At 36.8% G+C, this 16423-nt stretch overlaps 1 protein-coding gene across 91 annotated transcripts in view, besides 1 other annotated feature; it reads right to left on the minus strand.

Annotated features, from left to right (window-relative positions):
• SSBP2 (single stranded DNA binding protein 2) overlaps positions 1-16423 on the minus strand; it is a 339004-nt gene that overhangs the window by 13127 nt on the left and 309454 nt on the right. For 71 of the 91 annotated variants that reach the window (NR_174563.1, NR_174559.1, NR_174539.1 and 68 more), the window contains 3 exons: positions 14628-14706; positions 11500-11528; positions 2655-2753 (listed from right to left, as the gene is read on the minus strand). Coding sequence is in view for 52 of the 91 variants with exons in the window: in XM_047417066.1 (XP_047273022.1) it covers positions 2655-2753; positions 11500-11528; positions 14628-14706 (207 nt within the window). In the remaining 39 variants the exon portion in view is untranslated. Of the gene's footprint in view, positions 1-2654; positions 2754-11495; positions 11529-14627; positions 14707-16423 lie in introns of all 91 variants that reach the window. The other 20 variants (NR_174532.1, NR_174534.1, NR_174535.1 and 17 more) reach the window with 7 other exon arrangements.
• Positions 7114-7799: an enhancer, noted in NCBI's record as "NANOG-H3K27ac hESC enhancer chr5:80728863-80729548 (GRCh37/hg19 assembly coordinates)". NCBI's record gives its function as "activates a minimal SCP1, AML or CMV promoter by ChIP-STARR-seq in naive H9 embryonic stem cells {active_cell/tissue: H9 hESC(naive)}" and the evidence as "EXISTENCE:reporter gene assay evidence [ECO:0000049][PMID:30033119]".

Genomic DNA, 16423 nt, shown 5'->3' on the forward strand with positions numbered 1-16423 from the left:
CCTTCTGTGATTTAACTTCAAGATAAAACCTGACAGATCCTTAAAAGGCAGACTGCTCAAAAATATGTGCTTTCAGAGTTATGTGTATTAAACACTAGAACTTGCATGTTCATTTATTGAACAATGTTTTCTTTTTGAATTCATTAAGAGTTCTGCTTTTCCTTGATTATAGCAAAGCTAACTTATTGGGGATAACTAGCTTATTTACTTCTTCAAAGCCTTACATTTGTCAGCACCAAATCTCTTTTGTCTTTCTTCCTCTCTCCTCTTATTGCTTGATTTTATAAAAAGATCTAAACAAAAATGTATAGTAATATGACAAAGAAAGCCACACATAACAATGATATCATTCATAACAAGTCCCTTCTTCTCAGGAGACAGAAGAATGGAGAAGCCAGTGTGTACCTGCTTCCAAGGCTGTACTACCCTCCAGGGTGGTGGTGCAGTTTCTCAGTCCACCATCAAATTATTTTTCCTTTTACAACATTTCTGGTGGGGACAGGAGACAAGGAGGGAAGAGAAAGCAGGGAACTTCTGTTTGCTGTTAACTCTGCTGGCAGTCTAGCATTGAACCCGCTTAAGTTCAGGGGCAGGGAGGGTGAGCCAGAAGTTAGGGGTGGAAGAAGCCTTGTTCCAGCTGCTCTCGTTTCTAAATGCACATATTCACAGAAGAATCTGTTGTTTGCCATGTGCATAGTCCATTAGGGATTGAAGGGAGAAGCTGGGGCTTATTCTGTGCAAGGAAGTTCTCCACATCCTGGCATATCTGAATCTTTGCCCCAGTGAAGAGCTTTCTGATGCCAGTTCTGAATTGGTACCCCTCTTCCAACTGTTAAGACAGCAGTCACTAATGACAAATCTGGGAAGGAAGTAGAGGGAAGAGTTCCTCTTGTCACTGCCCATAAGTGAAAGTCATGTGGAAGCTTTTTAAAAAAGTTTTTTTCCAACTCCAAATTAATCATTTCCTCTGACTTTTAAAATACATGGCTTATATATACATTACAGCACTCATTAATCTGACACGTTTTAGTTATATCAACATCTGTTTTTCCTATTGGGTTGCACTCTTTGAAAGTAGGTGTTATATTTATTTCAGAATACCTTGGTCTTAACCTGATGCTTTGCATATAATAGGCTCAATAAATGTTAAACTGAATTGAATTATCAAATACCTCACTGAATTATACCACTTTATTGCTGGTAAAATTACTCGAAAAGGAAATAAATGTCTTTAATTAGATAAAAGTGAACATAGAAAAATTAATTTGTCCATAGTTTTGAAGCAAACCACTCAAAGAACCAGGATCTAAAAAATAATTCCCATAATCTTAAGCATTATGACTTAAATTATGTAGCTTCTCATGTTTTTCCTTAACACTGACAGGCTAAATTTTTTTTTCAACTGTAAACTGTTACACATAAAAAATTATTTGTCCTCACTAATCATATATTGCCTGCAAGTAAACTACAGATCAGCATAATTTTAACAGAAACGAACTCTAAAAACAGGGGATGTCTTGTCCCCTGCAAAGGTCCCATGTGGATATCAGAACTACAAGAATCCACAGAGCACTCAATCTTGTATTCTGTTTTGGGAATGGAACAGCCACTCTGTATAAAGGTAGACGTGCTATTAGCCAGTGCTTCAAATTCTGATGGTATCACCTCTGGTAAATGCTGAGTTGGGCAAAATGAGGGTAGTCTCTCTCATGATTCTGACTGCAGTTTGGTAGGTCCTCCGTAAGAAATTTTAAGGATGCTATGAATCCTGTGAAGATGAAATTCATTTGGGTTTTGAAATCTTTTATGCTACATTCCAGTTCAGTGGTTCTTAGCAGAGAATGTACACCAGCATCAGCAACAAAGCTTTTCCACATTCAAGTATGCCCAGCTCCACTCCTGGAAATTCTGATTCACTAAGTCTAGGGAGAGTTCTGGGAAACTGTATTTTAAAAAATTCCATTGGGGTTTCTAATGTGAAATATTAATGTAAAAAATCATTATATTACATAGAACTCCTTGAGAAAAGGCACCATTTTGTCTTTTTGGTCTCTCCAATACCTAGCATATTGCCTTGGCATGTGGTAAGTGCTCAGTAATTGCTTGTTAAATGAATGAATTTTATTGCTTCTCTTTTTGGTTCTGTCTACTTCTATGGAGATATGGAATGAACTTTTGTGTAACAGTACAATCACACGCAAGCAGTGACTTGGGTATTCAGCTCAGGTTAACAGACCGCCAATTTGGCCTTCAGTCCAGTGAGGTCTACTATATAAAGTAAGAACAGACTTTTTAGATTTTGAGGACAGCACTGAAACACACCTAGTTTTGCAGCAACCTGAGACATTTTAGTAGCATGAAAACTTATAAAAAGTATCAAATAGGCAACCTGTTTCCAGTTTGTTCCTTTACAGTGGAGGTTCTCAATGAGAAAACTATTATTATGGTTTTTCTAACTATGTACACAGAATAAAAAAGAAAAAGTTTGTTTTAAAAATTATTTTCAAAGATATTCCACTTAAAGTTTCTCTTATCTAAAAGATAAACCTGTTGAACTCTAGATAAACAGCAGTAAAAGTGGCTTTATGCATTTATTCTAGCAGAAGAGCTTCAGAAATAAAATTTGAGTATAATATAGTCAAGGGAATACTTACACTCTCACTCTGAAAAGGATTTAAGAAATTTCCCCCCATTTCGCCATCATCCCTTGGAGTGCCCGGTTGATTACTCAGGCTCATATTATTGGGAGAATTCTGTAAACAAGATTTAGAAAACAAGGCATTGTTGAAAATTTTAATTTCCCTCTTGCACTGTACTGTTTCGAATATTGAAACAGCATCCCTAAGGACAAAGCATACTTCTAATTTTAATCTTAGACTTCTACCATGTATTCTATTTCATTCTTTGCACTTTGACAAGTACTAATGCCTTCCCAAATGAAAATTTAAAAAAAAATAAAAAAACCCCCAATAACCTACCACAACTATTTTCTTAGCTTCAGAATCAATATTTATTCAATTTCCCACCCTCAGCTTATAGAGTTCCTAAAACACTGGAGAGTTTAAAACATTCCCAGCAGGGGCATGATGAAGAGATCCTACCCACTGATAAGGCAAGATGGAACAATAACTCCCTTAGTCATTTCACTAACCAAACTTTGAAAGGTCACTGTTTTAATAAACATTTCCTTTTAATTCTACATGCAGTATACAGATAACACTATTTCAACCATTTTTACATGAACTTTAAGGAAAAAAGAAAGATAGCTAACAACTGTACTTAAGAACAAGAGACACCTTAGGACTTGAGAATTTATTATGTACTCTTAGAGGAAAAGGAGGCTCAAAAGAAAACTGCTTTAGAATATTTTCCTATCATTAGTTTAAGAGTAGATTTACTTTGGAACTTTCCTTGGAAGATAAAATGACTGTTATTAGCAATCTAATCGAACACCAAGTTAGCAGTGCGTTGCTTCATATTCTATTTAAATTTGCTAGTCTCATTATTACCGCACAATTTTAGCCATGGCAGGATACCTGATACTCCACATCAATAGGAAATGTAGAATGACATTGGACTATAAACCATGTTTATACAGTAGTATAACTGTAATTCTTTGAAGGTCCAATTCATTAACTTGTAAAAAAAAACTTCAGAGTTAAACATTTTTTAGTTGTTATTTCAAATGGAAGAAATAACTTACTTACTTACTGGCTTACTTTTTCCTAAGCCATTCCTATTTACATTGTTTTGGAATTAGTTTTTAGATTTTTTTTTAAAGAAAATTGCTCAGAGAATTTTGTCTTAACTACAACAACTTGTATCATAAAAATTAACATTTCATGAATGAGTTATTCCCAGAAGAAAATGGTTAAAATGTAAAGCAGAGATAGATAGATGAGCTGGTAGAAATACACTGTGTCTTGTCTTGCTGTGCACCCCGCAGGGAGGATCTGAGAACAAGGATCCTCTGAAGTCCATTGGAGCTCTCTGTGTCAAGAAACCCCAAGGACTTGGGAAATATACTTTAATAGCATAAAGAGGATTCTATTTTTTTTGACAAATTTTTCTCTGAAAAATGTTAGTTATCCAAGTATATAGAAAAGCAACTATACTTTGAAATGAATCTGAATATCTTGATTTCCTGGGAAAAAAATTAAGTAAAATTTAACTAACTGCATTATTTTAGAATTCATTAATTATTAAAGTTATTAGGTTAAATAAACTGTACCTTGAAAACAGGAATGATAATGCTGACTTAGCTCAAAAAGGAAAATGAATTTATAAAAAATATTGTAAGATTTACTTATAATTTATAAATTCTTTTGGATTTCTGTCACTTTATATATAATGGAGAAATTGGTAATACTAGAATAAAATACAATCTAATATATACACACATATATAAGAAAATTCAAGGATGCAGTTGGAAGCTGCATATTTCACACAGTCAAACAAAAGAGTAAAATGAACCCTCTTATTCTTGTGTAACATTCATACCCCCTGTGGTATATAAGGTACCATGAGAGAAGCAGCGTATCTCAGACTCAGTTAGGGTGCTTTAAATCTTTGCTGCACATTTGCCATATATCATTTCTTGATTTATAATTCTGAAAGTCTGGCTAACTTCAAACCTGATTCCTAACTCAAAATATTGATTTTTAAATACTTACAATTTGAAAGTAACATTGCATTGCTAATGTTTAAATACACACAAAATACTTCCAGTGTTATTATTTCTGTTTTACATGCAACCTCTTCATAGCATGGTGGCTCAGCATTATACTCTTCTGTGTGTGTGTGTATGTGTGGTGGGGACGGGTATTTAAGGACACTAACAGGAAGATTGAAAGGATACATTCAACATACAAAACTGAGATAAAATCAGATCTCTGAAACCTATTCCTATTCAGCCTACTGGACCGTATTTGAAAAGCCTGAAGTGATAGGACAATTGGGTTTTTTTGGTTTGTTTTTAACTAGAGTAATCTCTGCAAAATTGGAAAACAACAGAAGCTCCTCAATGGGAAATCTTAAGAAAATTGTGCTGTCCGTAATCGCTGAGTGACATGATGATATGGGCTAAAGGGCATATTCAATATTGGCATCTGAGGGACAGCTAAGATAGCGGTACCAAAAACCATCCCAGAACAGGTAATGAGGGTAGGTGGTAATGAATTGTGTGTATGCTTCATTTAACTGTAGCTGTATTTGTGTATTATGTCCAGTAGGTTTCATCAATAAGGCAAGAATATGATGTATAAAAAGGACTTAGGTTGGTCAAAAAGGCACTCTACTTGCTTCAGCACAAAAGAGTACAAGATTACTTTTAGATACATTAGGCCCATCGGTTACAGTTATTTCAATGAATATGTACTTTATTCCCTACTTTAAGAGTTTTGCTTGAAAAAATATGGTTAGGATTATACTGATACCAACTTCAAGAAATTTTATTACATTCTCACTTATCATTTCTTCAAGTTGGAAATTCTCTTAAGCTATGATGTCACACATGAATATTTATATACATATATATATACACACACACATATATGCACACACACATAATACACCACAAACACAATTTCCTCTGGCTGCCATGTTTAACCCTGTTGGACTTCCTGGTCTGATTTCTTCTAGCAGGTATTACATATCTTCTTCTCTCTTTTTTTTTTTGAGACATGGTATCTGTCACCTAGGCTGGAATACAGTGGTGAGATCACAGCTCATTGCAGCCTTGGACTCTTGGGCTCAAGTGATGCTTCTGCCAAAGCCTCCTGGGTAGCTAGGACTACAGATGTGTGCTACCACATCTGGCTAATTTTTAAAATGTTCTGCAGAGATGAGATCTCACTATGTTGCTCAGGCTGGTCATGAATTCCTGGACTCAAGCAATCCTCCTCACTTGGCCTCCCAAAGTGCTAGGATTACACGTGTGGACCACTGTGCCCAGCTCATATCTTCTCTTAATTAGTAAGTTATTATCCCTTCTCCCATCCTCAAAAATTGTTTCAAACCTTTTAAAACTTTTTAAAATTTTAAATTTTTCCATTTTCAAATTAAAAAAGTGAACATTTATAGAAACTGTGGCTCTGCCTGTAATTAGAATAAAATAATAATGACATTATTCTAAGTAGTGGATTTTGAATTGCTTTCTCACAGGCTGCCAATAGTGAGTTTTCTAGAGTGTTGTTTTGACTCTGCTAGCTCCCTCAAAGAACAAACTGTCAGTCATTCTCCCAGTGGGCACAAATGAGCTAGAACTCAGGTCAGCACACATGAGATGATGGTGTAGATCTCTAGTCATCTACCAGCTCCCTTGTGAATGGTGTAGGATCTCTAACTGGAGCCAAAATTCTTGGGGTCAGAATGCTTCAGGTTGAAAATACTTTCTTGGTAATTTATTAAACATGATATGATCAGAGCTTGTCTTCTCACATACATGTGTTTTTCAAACTCAGAAATATAAATGTGAGATATGTTAATACGAACTGCAGAATTTCCTTAGCTGCTTTTCTTCTAAGAAAACAAACCGGCCGGGCACGGTGGCTCATGCCTGTAATCCCAGCACTTTGGAAGGCACAGCCAGGCAGATCACGATGTCAGGAGTTTGAGACTAGCCTGGCCAGCCTGGTGAAACCCCTGTCTCTACTAAAAATACAAAAATTAGCCGGGTATGGTGGTGTGCGCCTGTAATCCCAGCTACTCGGGAGGCTGAGGCAGGAGAATTTCTTGAACCTGGGAGGTAGAGGTTGCAGCGAGCCAAGATTGTGCTACTGTACTCCAGCCTGGGCGACAGAGCGAGACTCTGAGTCCGGGAGGGAGGTGGGGGGGTCAGCCCCCGCCCGGCCAGCTGCCCCGTCCGGGAGGGAGGTGGGGGAGTCAGCCCCCCGCCCGGCCAGCCGCCCCGTCCGGGAGGTGAGGGGCGCCTCTGCCTGGCCACCCCTACTGGGAAGTGAGGAGCCCCTCTGCCCGGCCAGCCACCCCGTCCGGGAGGGAGGTGGGGGGGGTCAGCCCCCCGCCCAGCCAGCCGCCCCGTCCGGGAGGGAGGTGGGGGGGGTCAGACTCCCGCCCGGCCAGCCGCCCCTTCCGGGAGGTGAGGGGCGCCTCTGCCCGGCCGCCCCTACTGGGAAGTGAGGAGCCCCTCTGCCTGGCCACCACCCCGTCTGGGAGGTGTACCCAACAGCTCATTGAGAACGGGCCATGATGACAATGGCGGTTTTGTGGAATAGAAAAGGGGGAAAGGTGGGGAAAAGATTGAGAAATCGGATGGTTGCTGTGTCTGTGTGGAAAGAAGTAGACATGGGAGACTTTTCATTTTGTTCTATACTAAGAAAAATTCTTCTGCCTTGGGATCCTGTTGATCTATGACCTTACCCCCAACCCTGTGCTCTCTGAAACATGTGCGGTGTCCACTCAGGGTTAAATGGATTAAGGGCGGTGCAAGATGTGCTTTGTTAAACAGATGCTTGAAGGCAGCATGCTCGTTAAGAGTCATCACCACTCCTTAATCTCAAGTACCCAGGGACACAAACACTCTGCCTAGGAAAACCAGAGACCTTTGTTCACTTGTTTATCTGCTGACCTTCCCTCCTTCCCTCCACTATTGTCCTATGACCCTGCCAAATCCCCCTCCGCGAGAAACACCCAAGAATGATCAATAAAAAAAAAAAAAAAAAGAAAGAAAACAAACCATATACTTCTCTCTACCCTCAACCCCAACTCCAAGGAAAAGGATTTTTGTTTCATTGATTAAATGGGTGACCCCTCAGTTATTAAAGGGCTGAAAGGAATTTCATATATCATCTTTAAAAGCTTTCTAAATCAAATATAAATTCTGCATTCTGAGAAAGAGGCACATGAGTTTTACTAGGTAATGCTCAACTGAGCAAGAAATAATTTTGAAACTTCATTGGAAGCTTTGAATTCATTTTGCTTACTGAAACAGTGCCATCCAAGTGCAATTGATAGTGTGAGTTCCTAGCCTTGTCCACAAAAGATTGTATAGCTAATGAGAAGAAAGATATTTAGTGTCTGTATAGCACTTCATAGCCCTTAACATATGTTCACACTCGATTCTCAACAATTTTATGAAGTAGGCAGGGAATGAACTAAAATCTTTATGTTACAGCTAAGCAAACTATGCCTATGAGAGATTAAGTAACGTGTCCCTGCAACTTGTAAGTACTATAGTAGCATCAGGCTTTCTGATTCTCAATTCAGTACTCTTTATTTATCTTACATATAAAATGGATAAAATGGAGTATCTATGCAATAAAAAGTAGAAAAACAATTGAAGTAGTACTTATACACAACATTTAAAATGGAGTAAATTTTTTTTTTAAAAATATGTGATACTGGTGCTTGACAAAATACAGATTTAACTGGAGAACTATAGAGCTGTGGCTAGAGACCTAAGAGGGACTTTGAAAATTACCAGGCGATGGCCGGGCGCAGTGGCTCACACCTGTAATCCCAGAACTTTGAGAGGCCGAGGTGGATGGATCACCTGAGGTCAGGAGTTCCAGACCAGCCTGACAACATGGAGAAACTCCGTCTCTACAGGCACATGCCTGTAATCCCAGCTACTTGGCAGGCTGAGGCAGGAGAATCGTTTGAACCCAGGAGGCGGAGGTTGCGGTGAGCCGAGGAGATGGCACCATTGCACTCCAGCCTGGGCAACAAGAGCGAAACTCTTGACTCAAAAAAAAAAAAAAAAAAAAAAAAGACACAAAAAAGTAAGTGATAATGGTCAAGGCTGTCTTTTGATTCACAAACAAAATTACTCGAAAAAAACAGGATGGAAATGAATGATAATGAAATGATTCCAGGAAAACAAAAGGAAGAAGAAAGCTTCTTGAGATAGCTGAACATGTGTTGGAAAAGGAAGAAATGTGGGAAAAGCGAGTTAGTGACTGTGACTGTGTATACCTCGTAGTCAAAGACTGAAAAAATCAGTCTGGGAGTGGAAAGAGGCAGGGAGAGAAAGAATCTGGGGCAGGGGGTATACAATGTGCACGATGCTACTGATGCTCTTAAGAGAAAAAGTGACTATGGTGCAACAGGCACTAATGGTACTATCACCCAGGGGTCGGCCAGCTTAGAGCCCAGAGCCAATGAACCTGGAGTAGAGGTGGTGTAGAAATGAGATGCGTAGGAACTCATTTGAAGGCAGATTTAACTAGTCAATTCTAGCACATTGTTAAGTGGCATGTTTATGACTAGGGGGATAAATCTTATGTAATTTAAATGCATATTAACTTTGCTTTGTAAAAATTTTTATTTATCCAATTCGTTTGATCTCCTCGTTAAACTGAACTTCTTGAGGGCAGAGAACATATCTTGTTTATCTTTGGATTTTTAGAGCCCAGCATAATGCCTCAGTAGGCGTCAACATTTACTGAATGAAGGAACTCCTGCCTAAGAATAAACCACTTGAGGACAGAGATCGTGTTTGTTGTTAAGAAGACTTTTCTATGTCCCCATAGTGCAGAAGGCAATACCCAGCACACACAAGTACACACTGGATGGTCAGTTACTGCTTAGAGCACAAGCAATGCATCATTAGGCAAGAGAATGTTATGAGGAGTGGGCATGGTATGGTGGAAAAACTTGTATCCGAAAACAGGCATGGGAAAGTAAGCACAGAAGGAATAGCAACCGATCTGATATGAGGGCAGATTAGAAGATGGCATTTAATTAATCATTATGACTTTTTAAAAATTTTAAACTTTTATAAATTATAAAGTACTTTCCCATACAGAATTTTGTTTATATCTATCTTATGTAAAAGGTTTTAGGTAGTTAGTAAAAATTTTAGGGAGATGGCCTAAAACTATCTTGATGATCCTACTTTTCTGTAATTAAGAATCCATCTGTAGATACAAGAATATGCTTCTCAAATATGGCATCAGAAATTTCACTGGTGACCACAAAGCACAATTTGGCTAATTAAATTGTTAGAAATACCTGAGATGCTGGGTGCAGTGGGTCACGCCTGTAATCCCAGCACTCTGGGAGGCCGAGACGGGTAGATCACATGGGGTCAGGAGTTCGAGACCAGCCTGACCAATATGGTGAAACCCCATCTCTACTAAAAATACGAAAATTAGCAAGGCTTCGTGGTATGAGCCTTTAGTCCTAGCTACTCAGGAGGCTGAGATAGGAGAATTGCTTGAACCCGGGAAGGGGAGGTTGCAGTGGGCCGAGATTGCACCACTGCACTCTAGCATGGGCAACAGAGCAAGACTCCATCAAAAAAAAAAAAAAAAAAAAAAAAAGAGGTATCTGAGAGCCAACACAATCATGGTAATCTGACTTGCAAAGGCCCAGAGAGAAGGCTCTAATAAAGTTACATAGGCAATTTTGTTTTGAAAACAGGCCTCATAAATACCATTTCTCACAAAGGTAAGCTAGTACTCATTATAAATATTTATCTATTTTTAGAAAAAAAAAGACCTTTCTGATTTTTTGTAAACATGATTGTTTCTAAATATAGACATCCAAAATACATGTGGAGCTTGTGAGGCAAAGCAGCCAGGCAGTAGAGTTATAATGCCAGAATTCCAATTAAATATTTTTTAGAACTTGAAGTCTTAATTTAAAATGATTTTTAGCTCAATCAATCTTATTTTATTTTTCTTGGCAGCAGGAATTTTACATTATTATACATAAATATAAATTAGAAATAGAATTTCAAAAAGTCATCCCTTAATGAATTTCTCTATTTATTGATATAGAGCAGACTTCTAAGAGAATCATTCTGGTGGTAGCAAATAATTAGTTCCCATCAGTAATTCTAAATATATTTGATTCACTGAGAACTATTTTAAATTCATCATGACCTAAATAGTATTTAGGAACTATTCTTCAAAAATATAAGGCATTTTAGTAAAGGATTCATTTTAGATACTCAAACTATTGAAAGAGGGAAAATGCAAACACATACTAATGGAAGGCTCACTTTCCTGCTTGTACGAATATAATTTTCCTCTAATCACTTTCTTACTCTATTTTGGGGACTAGAATAATTATTGTGGAAATCAGCATTTCCTAATGAAGATTTGCAAGATGAATTGGATACGTAAATGCAATGCCTTTATGATATATAATAACCACTTTTTCAAATTTATCTCTCCTCACATTTCTTTAGACATCTTTACATTTTCAAAAGATTATCTAAATTCTGTAAGTTTGCTTTACAAATAAGTAACATCTTAATGTGATTAAATTTGTTATTACTTGGGTGTCAACTAATAATGTATAGTATGTCCTATTAATGAATCTTAGCATATTTAGGAACATTCTTAAAAGACTTATTTTACCCTTTCCCACAGATAATATGCATTAATATTCTTAACTTCCAATTAATTATACCTGGTCTTCTACTTTCAAACTCTTGTTCAAGAACAAAATTCGTAAATTTACTCTAATAATTTTAATGAGTTCCATGTTAAATAAAATTCTGATTAAAAACAACACAGAATACACAGCACTCACCTTGGAAATACTGTCCATATCTCCTGAGCCTGAAACAAAATATAAAAAGAAAGCCTTTATTAGGTAAGATTTCATTTATAAATTAAACACTCCTTTAATTTAAATAAGTGAAGTATACTATATGTATTTTCCAGCATATAGCTCCTGAGTTTTTAAATCTGAAAAAATTCCTCTTCTTTTATACAGTATAGTGAATCAGTACCATCTGATGGAAAATGCAAGGAGTTCTATCCTTAGTTCCCAATCGTTTTTTTTTTATGGAAGCATGAAGAAAACTGTTGTTATCATAGATTCCTAAATGTGAAATTTTAGAAAGACCATTTTATATACCCTACCCAATTAAAAATTTAAAAATGTATATATAACATATATAGAGATATCTACATATATTTTTTGAAAATGATGCTGTAAATCTGATAAAATATAAAATGAACACTTGCGACAATGTTTGACAATATTTTAAACCATAATTTACTATAATAACCAAAAGCTAAGTATTAATATTAAAAAGTTGATAGCAATGAATATTCATGACAATTCTTCAAAACTAAAAATGTCTTTAAATATTATATTTTTATTTTGATCCTTGGAAGAAATAAACAATCAATATGAATTTCTTTTCTTATGTAAGAAATAGAGACCGGGTGCAGTGGCTCACGCCTGTAATCCTAGCACTTTGGGAGGCCAAGGTGGGTGGATCATTTGAGGTCCGGAGTTCGAGACCAGCCTGGCCAAACACGGTGAAATCACACCTCTACTAAAAATACAAAAATTAGCCGGGCATGGTGGCAGGCCCCTGTAGTCCCAGCTACTCGGGAGGCTGAGGCGGGAAATTCACTTGAACCTGGGAGGCAGAGGTTGCAGTGAGCCGAGATCACATCACTGCACTCCAGTGTAGGTGACAGAGTGAGACTGTCTCAAAAAAAAAAAAAAAAAGAAATAGAATCATACATTAGGTAACAGAACAATAATCAGATCTTTGCCACAATATTAACTTTATTTTAAACAATTTAACTTCTGACAATTAATTTTCCTAGCATAAAAATAATATAACATTTTAGTAGCATAGCATTCAGTCAACATTACAAATAAAGCTAGGGCTTATTAATATAAGTTGTAAATAAATAGGCATAATAAATTATTAAATACCGAATGCATATATGCAATCATATATATGTGTATATATAATATGTACAGTAATGTTCATTATAGAAAGCAATGAGCCAGTTGCCAAGCATAGGTAAAAATCTTCTGAAAATTCTATTCTGGTGACTAAGATAATGAGAGCCTTTTAACTATTTACCAAATATCATCTTTTTGTGAATGGTTCTACAAATAACAATATTGCAAAGTGAATTATTTTGCAATAAATTGGAAAATAAAATTCAAGAATGGTGCTGTCCAATAGAATTTTGTGCAATGATGGAAATGTTTCTCTGTGATGTTCATTAAGGTAGTCATTAGCTACAAGTGGCTGCTGTGTACCTGACATGTGGCAGTGCAACTGAAGAACTGAATTTTAAAATTTACTTAATTTAAAATTAAATAGTCACACATGGCTAGTGGCTAGTGCAATTGGACAGTGCAAATCAAGACTTTGCAATCTAGGCAAAATAAGTATGAATTCTTAAAAGCTCAAAAGTCTCTTAGTGTACTGCAAATAATTTGGTTATTGAAAGATTTTCCAAGTATCAGAGGGAGGCATTTCCTGACCTTAGGTCGGGAAGTGAAATCTTATATATAACCTAAATTACTCATGAACATATTTTTTCCAACTTAAGTAAAAGATGAACCCTTTCCAAAAGAAAAAAAAAATCATAACTCCCATCCCCATTGTCAACTTTTAAATTAGTTTATGGTCATGTTACTTAAACATATACGAACATAAAAAGTGTTTTTTTGTTTTGCATTTGACCTATGTGAATGCAAAACAAATATAACTATAGTATGTGGTATGACCTAGTCCATTTTGCAACACTTGTCTGTATTTCTCACTATTGTTAAAATTTTCATTCACCTTGCAGCTATTTAGCTTCATATGGTAAGAAGGCATCACTTATAAAGTATGTTTTCTTTTTCTTTTTTTTTTTTGAGATGGAGTTTTGCTCGTCACCCAGGCTGCAGTGCAATGGAGCAATCTCGGCTCACTGCACCCTCTGACTCCTGGGTTCAAACGATTCTCTGCCTTAGCCTTTTGAGTAACTGGGATTACAGGCGCCCAGCACCCTGCCCAGCTAGTTTTTTTTTTTTTTTTTTTTTTGAGATGCAGTCTTGCTCTGTCACCCAGGCCAGAGTGCAGTGGCGCGATCTCGGCTCACTGCAAGCTCCGCCTCCCGGGTTCAAGCGATTCTCCTGCCTCAGCCTCCCAAGTAGCTGGGACTACAGGCACCCACCACCGCGCCTGGCTAATTTTTTGTATTTTTAGTAGAGACGGGGTTTCACCATGTTAGCCAGGATGGTCTCAATCTCCTGACCTCATGATCTGCCTGCCTCGGCCTCCCAAAGTGCTGGGATTACAAATGTGAGCCATGGCGCCTGGCCTATAAAGTATGTTTTCAACCATCAGTCACTTGAAATGGTCTTTATCACGAAGACAATGTAGGCAGTGTTCTCTTAAAAGAGAATCATTCAAATTATCCAGAATATGATTAACAATTTTATGTTAAAAAGGAGGCAAACATAAAAATCCAAAAACAAAATTAAGAAATTCTTGGAGAGAACTGAGATTCTTCTGAGACTGTGTCCACAGAACTCTAGAGACAAAACAACAACAACAACAATAACAACAACAACAAACAGCTGCAAGAATACTGCAGCCTTCTGGGTTGGGCAAGCATGACACGTGCCCACAGCAGCAATGTCTCCTTTTATGGTAAGACATGAGATTTCTATAGGTTAAAGTAAATAACTGTGAATATGAACTAGAACAATTCTCACACTTCTGATCTTCAAGTGATCTACAGTTATAACCAATAAAATGTCAATTAAACTATCTGTATGAGGTAAAAGTTGAAGTATTTAAAAATGAGTAGCTGGCTATGGAAGAACTTTGGAAACTGTAATATGCACTAGGTAGAATTAAGGTTTTGTTATGAATTTATTCTAAACATCAAATTGAAAAGCCTTACCTAAAGAGCCATTCATGTGATGTGACTCCATTCCTCCTAATCCACCCATGGGACCATCTGACCCAGGACCCATTGGAAACTATTTTAAAAATGAAGAAAATCACTGTAATCATACTGAAAACAATGGCTTATCTCAATTTTACAATATATTTAACATTACAAGACACTGCCACAACTTATTTTTACTTTCAAGCTATGGAGATCTTTTACTTGATGTTTTTCAGCCTTGTGGATTCTCTAACTGGACTGTTCACCTCTCTCATATTGTTTTCTCTATGTTCCACATATAGATGTTTAGCTTAATCATCATTTATCTCCAAATTTTTCTTCTTCAGATATACTCAGAAAGTATATACATTCCAGTGCAAATTAGAAGATAAGCATTTTCCTCTATGATACTGACAAATTTTCTATTGAAAACCAAAGGTGGTTCTTAAGAAGCTGTTAAGGGTATTGGCTTATTAATAAGAATAATTCAATGTCATTATGACAACATTAACATTTTTCTTAGTAGGCAATCTGTCTTTGTTTAAATGGACATAATAAATAATTTCATCTTATAGGTTAAATACATTTCATTCCTTGGGGATGGCTGAATATAGCTAATTCTTCTTGGCAGTCTCAACCATGTCACTTCAATGACACTCAGAGGTTCCATGGCAATTCTGCTTAACATTTTTCAAAGTAGTGGAATTCTTTTTTTCTTTCCTTTCTTTTCAGGTGGAATCTTACATTAGAAGTCTGGTTCAAAACAGGTGTGCTATGATGGGGTTGGTGATAGAGAACCCATGGCCCGCCCACTCAGTCTTCCTCTCATCTCTCTAGAAGACTAAGGAAACATGGAGCCCAGTTCGAAGACAAGTTACCATGATACCTTACACTTACAGTTAAGACAGCCTGCTGAAAACATTTTCTCTTCAAATTTCCCATGCCAAAAGCATTTCTACCATGTTGTATGGTGCAGAATATTGGCAGAATATTGACTATGGTGTGTGTGTGTGGATGCAGTGGTGGTGGTGACTAATCATGAAGGCTTTTAGGAAGAAATAACTGCCTTTGGCAGGCAAACCTGTACTTCACCACCTCTGTGTGTGAATAAGATGGCCTTCTATCACCATGGGCAATACAAACCACATGCTTATAAAATTCTCCAAGAGAATGCCAATTTTGCTTGGTAAAATTGAGTATCTAAAAGCACGTAGGTTGGTGTTCAGTAAACAACTTGGAATATGTATGCCTCACTGATATAAGGCATATATAAGTCAAAGAAATAATTGACTTTAAACTTACTGCTGTTATTCAGCTTTTATCAAAAGCATAGTTTAGATATGGGTTGAAAAACTGGTGCTGGTAGGCCTAGTAGCCTGTGAACTTTTATCTGGCTCCTACAGTGTTTTAAAAGACACTAAAACTATAGGTATGTATGTTTGGTCAGTTTAACATATAAATATATATCTTCTGATTTTTCTTTGATTTCTGCTACCCTATATACACATGTATATGTGTATTAACTACAATCTGTTATAAATATTTTTGTAAACATGTAGGCCTTATAGATAAATAAAATGTTTTCCTGTGAACTTCTGTGGAAAAATCATGACTATATGCTTTATTAAGAACACCCAAGTTCTTCCTGTAGTAACTGCTTTAGCTCCATATTTAAAGTCTAGATTTCATATTCTAAAAAAAACAAGCATAGCCAACTTCCTCCTTTATTTTCAAGTTTATCAGGACAAAAAAAGATCACAATGAAAAAGCTTAGTGATGCTAAAAATGAGGTTAATATAAATGATTAT

The sequence above is a fragment of the Homo sapiens genome, chromosome 5 (assembly GCF_000001405.40).
Source record: "Homo sapiens chromosome 5, GRCh38.p14 Primary Assembly".
Classification (NCBI taxonomy): domain Eukaryota; kingdom Metazoa; phylum Chordata; class Mammalia; order Primates; family Hominidae; genus Homo; species Homo sapiens.